Source organism: Homo sapiens, chromosome 1 (genome assembly GCF_000001405.40).
Source record: "Homo sapiens chromosome 1, GRCh38.p14 Primary Assembly".
In the NCBI taxonomy this organism is placed as follows: Eukaryota; Metazoa; Chordata; class Mammalia; order Primates; family Hominidae; genus Homo; species Homo sapiens.
The window spans coordinates 191,313,006-191,324,780 of record NC_000001.11 but is presented as its reverse complement, the minus strand read 5'-3'; the positions used below and the strand labels follow the sequence as shown (position 1 = coordinate 191,324,780).

At 33.3% G+C, this 11,775-nt stretch overlaps 1 annotated feature.

Annotated features, from left to right (window-relative positions):
* Positions 7,835-8,035: a silencer, noted in NCBI's record as "peak598 fragment used in MPRA reporter construct". NCBI's record gives its function as "represses an SCP1 promoter by STARR-seq MPRAs in K562 erythroleukemia cells {active_cell/tissue: K562}" and the evidence as "EXISTENCE:reporter gene assay evidence [ECO:0000049][PMID:32103011]".

Here is an 11,775-nt window from a genome sequence, read left to right as displayed (position 1 = left end):
TGTACATACTGTGAAATAGAGGTATATTTTTATTCTCTTCCAATGTCCCTTAATAAATCACATTATGCATTGAAAAACTGCTTATATTGTATAGTAATTTCATTTATGTTTTCTTTAAGTGATTTTTATAGATTTTTAAATATTCTGCTGACTTATTGTAGAAAAGAATCAGCAGAACCAGTTTTGATCTATCAACAATTCACCTCCATGAGCACAGACAGTGTTAGGCTCATATTTCCTCCTTCCAGTCCTTCCCACGTATAAAAAATCAGCCAATCAAGGATAGAATCACTCTAATAAGAACATTTTTGAGTGACAATGCTTCAGTAAAACTGACCTTCAAGTAACCTTACTTCTGTAGATAATATCAATCCACTTACATCTCTGATAGTCTTCGAAAAATCCTATATAACAATGCTATTCAAGAGAACTTTTCACAATAGTGGAAAATAAGTGTATTTTAACATTCAATGTGTTAGCTGCCAGCCATGTGTGGGTATTAATCATTTGACATGTGACTAGTGTGGTCACAAAACTAAATTTTAAATGTATTTAATTTTCATTTTTATTTAAATTATTTTAAGTACATTGGTTAATTGCTATGGCGCTCAGATTGGACATCTCAGCTTATAAGATCAACAATCTGTTCTGCCTGAAGAAACTTTGTCTGACAAGCTTAGATCTTCCATATTATTACAAGAGATAAAGTCAAATGTCTTGTTAGATTTTATATCATTTAATGAGAATTATGGAGGTTACACTAAAGATTCATTTAGGCCTGGTGCGGTGGCTCACGCCTGTAATCCCAGCACTGTGGGAGGCTGAGGCGGGCGGATCACGAGGTCAGGAGATAGAGACCATCCTGGCTAACACGGTGAAACCCCATCTTTACTAAAAATACAAAAATTAGCCGGGCATGGTGGCAGGCGCCTGTAGTCCCAGCTACTCTGGAGGCTGAGGCAGGAGAATGGCGTGAACCCAGGAGGCGGAGCTTTCAGTGAGCTGAGATGGAGCCACTGCACTCCAGCCTGGGCAACAGAGCGAGACTCCATCCTAAAAAAAAAAAAAAAAAAAAAAAAAAAAGAGATTCATTTATAACACTCATTTGGCAGAATTGCAGGAAATCCTTGGACCAACAAATGTTCACAATAAATCCCTTGTGCCCAGATTTCTTTTGTCCTTTAGATAGGTTCCCAGGTGAATCAGTCTAAACTGCAATCTAAGCTTAGATTTGTTTGATTGACTCTGATTGCTGGGTTTGTTCTGTTTGAGATTTTGTAACCAAACAGGTCTTTTTTGTAAGAATCATTATTCATGGGGTTTTGTATAAGGCAATAAGACCTAGAGATTTTTTAAATTGAGTATTAGTGTTAGTTAAGTAAGGTCATTAGATACTTTTTCTTATTAAGCTGCTTATTTTCTTTAGTTTTGCTTTTGTTGTCTACTTGTACAAAGTTGCATTTTGTTTGGTTCTGGATTGTCTAGAAAATTCTAATGACACATTTTGACTTAATATCGTTTGTTAGTGAAGTTTATGTTAGAAATCATCATAATTTTAAAATAAAATACCAGGCTTTAAATTCAGTAAGTAGTTCAGTCTCTTCTAAAAATCCAATTCTTTATCAGAATCCTTATTGTTCAAATGACTGGACTATGGCCCTTTGTAGGAAACATCAAATTACTAAAAGAAACATGTGAAAAATATATACAAAATAAATGTATATAGTTATACGTATTGGGAATATATATAAAATTTGTGTTCATCAATGTCAGCTTTTAAAATATGGCACTCATTCTAAATGCTATAAAAGCACAGTTTGTTTAATTTTAAGAATAAAAGCAATTCTGAATCACCTAATATTTTCATGCTATCCTAAATACCCTGATTTATATAATAAGTCTTCCCCAAGGTAAAAGTTCAGAAGCTACTCTACAATATTATAAAAACTACTGTAGAAATGTCATAAATAATTTTGGCTCATGCTAAATATGCTGCTCTGTGCAAAGTCTTTATAAAGGATCTCTTATAAAATAAGATTAAGAAATGATAGGAAATTCAATCAGATACTTAAAGATTCCATTATAGATACATAAAATCTGGCCTGTTGAATTCTTTTAAAATTACATTAGGAATTTTCAAGTTGTAAAATCCATGAGGATAAGACTGGGCAAAATCAGAATTTCCACCTAATAGCACCAAATCTCAACTGAACATGAAATAACTATGGCATTAGGTGCAACCTAACACCAGTATTAAACACTGATGGAGAAATTTCTTTTCTAGGGTGGCAGGAAAATAGTGTTGGATTGTGTTCTTTCTACCTAAAACATTTTTACTTTTCAATCCAATGTTATGTTATATATTTAACTAGCATTGCTTTTCATAATTTTGACTTATGTCAGACCTTGTCCTTTACTCAAAATCCTTTTTGTCTTATCATTTAAAATCCTCTGAAAATCTAAGGGATCCTAACAGAACCCGGACATCACTCCCGTTAAAGAACCTAAATGGATGTTTTCTGGAGAACCTACAGAAGTAAAGGATTCATGAGGTTGATTGCTAGCCTAAGGTCCCCAGAATAGTCAGAGGGCCACATAAAACAGACATCTTGCCAAAACCATTAGAACAAGTTATCCTATATATTTAACTCTCCTTTATATATTTTTGTTTGTATATTTTCTTTTTTTTAATTTTATTATTTTTATACTTTAAGTTTTAGGGTACATGTGCACAACGTGCATGTTTGTTACATATGTATACATCTGCAATGTTGGTATGCTGCAACCATTAACTCGTCATTTAGCATTAGGTATATCTCCTAATGCTATCCCTCCCCCCTCCCCGCAGCCCACAACATTCCCCGGGGTGTGATGTTCCCCTTCCTGTGACCATGTGTTCTCATTGTTCAATTCCCACCAATGAGTGAGAACATGCGGTGCTTGGTTTTTTGTCCTTGCGATAGTTTATTGAGAATGATGGTTTCTAGTTTCATCCATGTCCCTACAAAGGACATGAACTCATCATTTTTATGGCTGCATAGTATTCCATGGTGTATATGTGCCACATTTTCTTAATCCAGTCTATCATTGTTGCACATTTGGGTTGGTTCCAAGTCTTTGCTATTGTGAATAGTGCCGCAATAAACATACATGTGCATGTGTCTTTATAGCAGCATGTTTTATAATCCTTTGGGTATATACCCAGTAATGGGATGGCTGGGTCAAATGGTATTTCTAGTTCTAGATGCCTGAGGAATCGCCACACTGACTTCCACAATGGTTGAACTAGTTTACAGTCCCACCAACAGTGTAAAAGTGTTCCTATTTCTCCACATCCTCTCCAGCCCCTGTTGTTTCCTGACTTTTTAATGATTGCCATTCTAACTGGTGTGAGATGGTATCTCATTGTGGTTTTGATTTGCATTTCTCTGATGGCCAGTGATGATGAGCATTTTTTCATGTGTTTTTTGGCTGCATAAATGTCTTCTTTGGAGAAGTGTCTGTTCATATCCTTCGCCCACTTTTTGATGGAGTTGTTTGTTTTTTTCTTGTAAATTTGTTTGAGTTCATTGTAGATTCTGGATATTAGCCCTTTGTCAGATGAGTAGATTGCGAAAATTTTCTCCCATTTTGTAGGTTGCCTGTTCACTCTGATGGTGGTTTCTTTTGCTGTGCAGAAGCTCTTTCGTTTAATTAGATCCCATTTGTCAATTTTGCCTTTTGTTGCCATTGCTTTTGGTGTTTTAGACATGAAGTCCTTGCCCATGCCTATGTCCTGAATGGTATTTGTCTAGGTATTGCCTAGGTTTTCTTCTCGGGTTTTTATGGTTTTAGGTCTAACATGTAAGTCTTTAATTCATCTTGAATTAATTTTAGTATAAGGTGTAAGGAAGGGATCCAGTTTCAGCTTTCTACATTTGGCTAGCCGGTTTTCCCAGCACCATTTATTAAATAGGGAATCCTTTCTTTGCTAATTTAAAGTTAGATACTCTGAGTTAATGTATCATGCTCCTCTTGGTATTAACATCACTTGCTTACATCTAAGCTTTAATTGCTCTAGGTAATCACCAACCTAACTCAATAATCTAGTAGTCCCAAACTCATTAGTTATCTGTTGCTCAGAGTCAGGAATGCTTTAGCACAGTCATGGTCCCCATAAGTGATTCAAATGGTAATCTAAATAGTAAAATACAATAAATTCATATTTATCAATATGCAAGGTGAAAATGAAATCTCCACAGATGAAACTTCATTTTCAATATAAATGAATTATGGGAATGAAGATTGGGACAAATTTTGTTGTTCTTTCTGATTTGGTTGACGAATGAATACAAAAAGGGGTCACAAACATTGAAAAAGACTCACTGGTCTGGAGCAATATAAACAAGTAGTCATTAGAACCAGATTTAAACCTGTTCAATTGACCAATTCACCTTAGTGAACTCAGTCTTGCAAGCAGCCAGTGATAGGCTGTCACTGCTGGAAGCTTGCCAATCAGGAACAGACTTACTCCAGAAAACACATCTCTAAGTGTCACTTAGTCATTGAAATTCTCACCAGAGTAACCACTCTTCTACAGATGGTATCAATCTGTTTGCACCTGTGAAACTCTGCCAATTCGTTCTTCAGTGTAATTCTACCCTCTTAAATTTATTATTTTCTTAATTCAGAACAGTAGTTTCTGACAATTTAAATTTTTTCCTTAAATTATATCCTTTCATCATAAGGACCCCTTATTTAGTGCTTAAGTGATATATGACTAAGTATACTAACATTATCCATTCCGAATGTTTTCCCTCTCTTTATTTTATTTTAGCCTATCTTCTGATTTATGTATTGTTTAGTTAGATTTATTTGTATTTTAATTCAAATATTTTTGTTTGTAATATATTCTCTCAAATTATTTATTTTATTCTGATCTATTGTTATTTTATGAGTATTTATCTCACAGTATAGTATTAAATCTTAAAGTAATTTTTATTTGTAGAGAACTCAGAACTTGGGACATGAAAAAAATGTTTATTTTGTTGTTGCTGTTGTTTTATGAATTTTAAAAATTATTTTTATTTCCTTTATTAATATTTTAGGCATCACTCCTTTATATATACATATTGGTATAAAAACTCTTATTATACATTAGTACATAACTAATTTTAAGTGAGTTTATTTATGTCTGCATACTTATACACACATATACACACATGTATATTCTCTATATATATACACACAAACACACAAGCATTTATATATGTTAAACACTTATATAATATGTATAATACTGGGTGATAGAATTCCAAGCAATCTTAATAATTTTTGCTATTCTATTAATTTTTAATTGATTAGAAATGAGCATTTGTGGCTGGGCGTGGTGGCTCTTGCCTGTAATCCCAGCACTTTGGGAGGCTGAGACAGGTGGATCATGAGGTCAGGAGATCAAGACCATCAAGAGGCTAACACAGTGAAACCCCGTCTCTACTAAAAATACAAAAAATTAGATGGGCGTGGTGGCATGCACCTGTAGTCCCAGCTACTCGGGAGGCTGAGGCAGGAGAATCACTTGAACCCGGGAGGCAGAGGTTGCAGTGAGCTGAGATTGCGCCATTGCACTCCAGCCTGGATGACAGTGTGAGACTCTGTCTCAAAGAAAAAAAAAAGCACTTATTGATCATTATTTGTAACCAAGAGAATATTTATTTCCCCGGCATTTGGTGTATACAATATAGAAAAATAAAATAATAAACCCAAGTTTATTTTTAAATTATATAGTTTGGGATTATAGGTCTCGAGAAATAATAAACTCCAATAAAGCAAGAAGCACAGAAGTGCAATAAACCTTTACCTTTATAAATAAGAATATAAATACCAACTTAACTTTAACATACTTAAACACATTTGCTTACTTGAAGGTGAAGAAAAATGTAAGTAGTACCCCTTGAGTGCAGATTACCCAATTGAAAATATTTAAAAGAAAGTCTAAGTAATATAATATTCTCCTGCTCTCAATAATAAGGAGAAATTATCATAACAAATGTAATGCTGACAGTTTTTTCTCTTGAAGGATAAATAACATGTTCATGTACCCTTGCTGATAGCAAGTATCTCGTATGTTCAGATTGCTGATAGCAAGTATCTCATATGTTCAAGAGGAATTTCTATAATTAACTTTTAGAATTTCTTACATAGAAGGTAATAGAAATGATAATAGTAATGCTTAAGAACTCAAGTTCTACACTTCCTATATGGACTGCATTCAAATTCTAGTGGTTTGAAACATTTTTACTATCTCCTCCAAAATGAGAAGAAAATTTGTTCTTTCGCTCTTACTGCTTAGAGAAGCATAACATATTAAGTGGAAGGGAGACTAAGAGAAGGCCCCCTAGCTGATATATAGTATGGTTCAAGCAGGTCGCCTGGATGGCTCTTAGGACTTGCATATGGCACTGCAGAAATTCTGTCTAGTAGATTAAAGGTAATATATAGAATTTGTGGAAAGCCTTCATGGGAGAATCAGATATGAGGATCCTAGGTGTTGGAGCACTTCTTTTTTTTTCCCTCAGAAATTAATTGTTTTTCATCTGATGAGTAGATCTTGGTTTTCTAAGCCCTTGAAAAATGTAAAAGCACCTGAATGTAGATAACTCATCAGCTACATGAGCTAAGGTGCTGATCATGAACTGTGTGTTATTAATGCATCAAGTCAGCAATTTACAGTAGCCATCAGTACTCAAAACACGTTGGCAGCCCACTCTCCCAGTGTGTCAACTCCTGCCACGCAGCCATCCCTCCCTTGATGCATATGCTCACACATACCTGTAGGTGCAAAACATGCAAACACACTACATGTTTCAGATATTTCTTCTAGGACAAGATTACAAATCTTCCCAGCAGTGGAATTCTAAGTATCACATAAACCACCTTTTCTCTGGAAGAAGATATATCCTTAACTATTACTCCAACAAATTCTGTTCAGTACTAAAAATTTGAACTAGGAGGGAAAAACAAAACAAGCCTTAGAAACTGCAGTGAAGTTATGGGGAATAGTAGATAGTGGAAACCTTAGAAATAGTATGGGGAGGCAGACTATATGTGACCACTTTAATGCACTGCAGAGTTTCTGTGTGGTTTATTCATTTACTTGCTATCCCAGGACACCAAGGACTGAGGAGACCTCAAAAATATCGACTTAACTTTACTAAGCTGATGAAATTGTGTTCAGTGACGTGTTAACAGATCTGAAATCTTCATACCCCCTAAAATTCAGCAAGTCTTTTGCTTGACTCTTTATCTTATGGGATCATTCTCATGTCGTAGGGGAAAATGGTTGTTGTTAATTAACAAGAATCACATATCCTTGATTTGCTTTCAACTTCTGCAATGCTTCTGTCAGTAATATCTCTAAGTAATTAATTAACATATTTTTATCGTTATGGTATCCCACACATTTTGCTTCTGATTATTGCACTCAATTTAGGTGAACAGAAATAAAACAATTTTAAGGGTCTCATACAATTCACTTATCTTGCTACAGCCCCTTTTATCAGGAGGCAGCTGCTTTTAGTGAATTAACAAATGGTTTAATAAAATTCTAGCACTCTAATAGTTGAGAGAAAAACCTTACAAATTTGGGGTGTAGTATCACCCACAACTAAAAATGGCTTTTTTTCTCCTACAATCAGAATATATGTGCCGTGGATCAAGAGGGTATTATAGTTTCAATTAACATTAACACAGAAAATGAAATTGAAAATGGTCTCTTGCACCATTTTATAGGATGATACTTGCAAACATTTTCTCCCTAAAGCCATGATCCTGATATATATCTATAATCTATATGGAGTAAAACAGTAAGAGCTAGAACATACTGAGTAGTTGGTGTGTACAAAGTGTTCGAATGATATCCATATGGAAAAATTCATTTCACTCTCATGAGAACCACATGATGTATTTGCTGTTGTCTTTCCATTACATAAGTAAAGAAACTGAATGCTGTAGACTTACATATGTTATTCAGGCACATATCTGTTAAATTTTAAAGGCAATCTAAATATAAATATCATGCTTATAGCCACTATACCAAACTACTTCTCAAATAATTGCATTTCTTAGGGTGTGAGCAGTTCACTGTTGTTGGTTTTATAGTTTTTGCTATTTGTGGGATGTTTAAGTACGAAAAAGAGGTGCACATTTATATTGAACAAGGAGCAGACATTAGCCGTTAATCATATGTCTTTTTTTTTCTGTATGTGTTTTGAATACCCTTTTTATTTGGGAAGTGTTCCCACATTGTTATTTGCTTCCTTAGGAAAATGGAAATTTGCATTTTTTTTCCTTCCTTTAAAATAGAATACAGGTATGTGACCCAGATTCCAGAAATCAGATATATGATTAGGAATATGTTTTAATTTGTTTTATAAAGAAATCTTATTTTTAATTATGTTATATAATTTTATTTATAACATATAGCTTATTTAAATGAAAAATAATTTTTGACTATGTAGTTGCAAGTTTTATTTTTTATTATTGCCAACCCATGAACACTTTTATAGAAAGCAAGAAATATGAGTTCAGTTTTTTAAAATTTTAGAAATCAGCAAATTTTTATTCTCTTATGCAACTGATTGCCTTCCTTCCTATTTGTTACTATCAATTTCTCTGCTTTAAACTTTTCTGAAGAATATTCACAGTGACATAGAAAAACAATAAACAGGCATATAGTTTGAGTAAACCCAAAAATCTAACATGAGTATACTGTATGTATTCTCAATTTAAAAATTTATTACATCATGATTTTCATTGGTTATACTAAAAAAGAGGCTGTGCTAAACTAAAGAAGCTAAACTAAAAAGAGAGACCTCTTTTAAACTAAAAAAGAATATATTTGTTTAAAAATATATTTATTGGAGGCTGAGGCAGGAGAATGGCATGAACCCCGGGAGGAGGAGCTTGCAGTGAGCCGAGATCGCGCCACTGAACTACAGCCTGGGCGACAGAGTGACACTCCGTCTCAAAAAAACAAAACAAACAAACAAACAAATATATATATATATGTTTTGTCTAATATGTAAGATTTTATCCTATCTTACATGTTTTAATTTCTTGCTAATTCTACACATTCAGTTTTTCAAAAAATGACACATTTCAGGTCTTGTCTTGCCTGGGCTGCCTGCTATATTATTCTTAATTTTCAGGTAGCCCTTGAAGACTGCGTGGGTATAGTAGAAACTGGACCGACTTTAGCTTGTGTGGGACCAAGTCTGTGCTAGAAAAGGAGAGAGAAATGGTTTCCACAAAAGAAATTATAAATTTTAAAAGTCTAGAAAAAAATCGGAAAATAAAACACACCTTAAGGAAATCTCTCTATCTTAGGCAATGATGGTATTATGATGATTTTTTTTCTTTAGAGGTTGAGAAAGGAATTTATGACTTTTTAATTCTTTCATGTAGCATCTATCTATATGTCTCTATCTCCATATCACGACTTATATCTCTATCTATCCATCTATAAGTTTGCTATTTAGTGAATGATATACCAAAGTGCTCTTTGGTACAGTTGCTAAGCAACATTTTATCTGCTTTATTTTACAAAGGAAAAATTAATAGGACCTTTGTTTATTTCAGGGTCTTAATTAAAAGTCTATGAGATTTAAACAATGTTAATATGGATATATAAAAATTGCATGTAGCTATTTTATATATACTACAAATCTTTGTTTGACTTTTCCAGCAGAGCTCACAATGAGTTCTTCCAATAGTTCTATAAATTATACCTAGTAGATGATTTTATTAGGGGGGAACAAACAGAAATTAACCATTAGTTTTTATTTTCCTAGTGTATTTATACATTTATACTATCAATTAGATTTTAGTGACAAACAGTGCATTTATAAAGTATACCGAAACCTGAAATAAATAAGTGAAATAAATACATTTTAGCTAGCTCAGAAAAATCAGCTGTATATTATTAAATATTTATTGAGATATAAACACATTGTATTAACTATGAATTTGTATATTTCAATCATTCATATTAGGATCTAAAACTCATACACTGTTGAGTCATATGGTGTCTGCCACTGACAAGGAAGGTTATTGTCATTCCCATAATCTTAATATTTAGTTAATATTTTCCATTTCCTTAACATTTTAGGCTCCAGAGTGACACCTTCTTACAGAGGCAATTACAAACTTGGATATCTGTGACTTACTTCCATTCTTTGCTTTCTTAGACTTACTATATTCATGTGACCCTAAACAATATTTTCTTCTTTTGGCCTGTGTGTGATTATAGAGGTGAAAATCCTTCACATATTATTCTGTGACTCTCTTCTTCAACTCAGTTTTGTACTATTGAGATTCAGCCATGTTAACTAATTCAGCTTTAATTCATTTGTTTTCACTGTGGTAAATGGTTCCATTTTTGTTAAAATAATGCAATTTATCTTTCCATTCTACTACTTATGATCATTGGAGTTGTTCCTTATTTTTTTCTATTGTGGATAATGCTATGGTAAACATTCATGTACATAGGTATGAGCATATGTGCTTGTGTTTTCTTGGAGTAATGCAATTATGAAACCACTGGGTATGCGCATTTTACTAAACATTTCCAACTAACTGTGCAAGGTGCTTATAATCTCTCATGTTAAATGCTCCAAAATTTAGCAATTTTGATATTTTCATATTTAATTTGTGTTAATCTGATAACTGTGAAATAACATCTCACTTTTGTTGTGATTAGCATTTCTATAATTCTTACTAAATTTGAGCATCATGTCATATATGTGAGGTCATTCATAATTGTATTTATGTGGCATGCTTGGTCATGTTTGTCTTTTTGTTCTTTTTTATTTCTTAAGGACTCAATTTTTAATATACATTCTGAATACTAAACAATTTTTTGGTTTTATAAATACTAAATATCATTTTGCTTATTAAAAATCCACATATAGGTTATAAAAATATACTGCCTGTATTTTTTCACTCACTTTATGGTTTTTTTAAATAAACAAAAGTTCTTAGTATAATGTAGCTCAGTTCACTCTTCTTCATTATGTGATTTGTGCTTGCTGTGCCTTATTTAAGATATCTTTTCTTACACTGGTGTTATAAAGACATCCTTGTATGTTATTTTCCAAAGATTTTATACTCTTTGGTATTTATATCATCAATCTTGGCTACTGTTTAGTCTGTAAAGTAGAAATCCAGTTTCATTATAAACCACGATGGATACCCATTTTCCCAGTAACTTTTATGGATCATTACATTTTTATCAAACTGATTAACAATGCTCTCCCATGATATATTAAATGACTGTATATGAGTACTTACTGCTGCAGCTATTGTTTCTCTGTTATGTTTTTCAGGCTACTTTTCTATTCCAGCACTAATGCCACATAAACCTTGGTTTGGCAAGGGATACTGCTTTTGTCCCTCATAGTAGGTATAGAGTTTCTAGTATCCAGTTTCATGACTGTGTGTTGTACAGGTTTGTTCCCTAGCCCTACAGAGCCCTGCACAGTCCTCAAGATCTTGGATCCCAGCCACATGAGTAAATTCTAATTTAACTCTTAGGTTCTATAGACCACTGAGTTTAAGAGTTCCTCAAAGTTTGGGGTTCATAATTGTGGTTTTTTTTTTTTTGTTTCTGTTTGTTTGGTTTCCACTACAGATTTCTACAACATGGACTCTGACATTTTTCATTCTTCTTTTATGTGTGGGCTATCATTTTGGTGTATCTGAAGTGAATAGAAGAAGAGGATTTCAGCATATACTTGA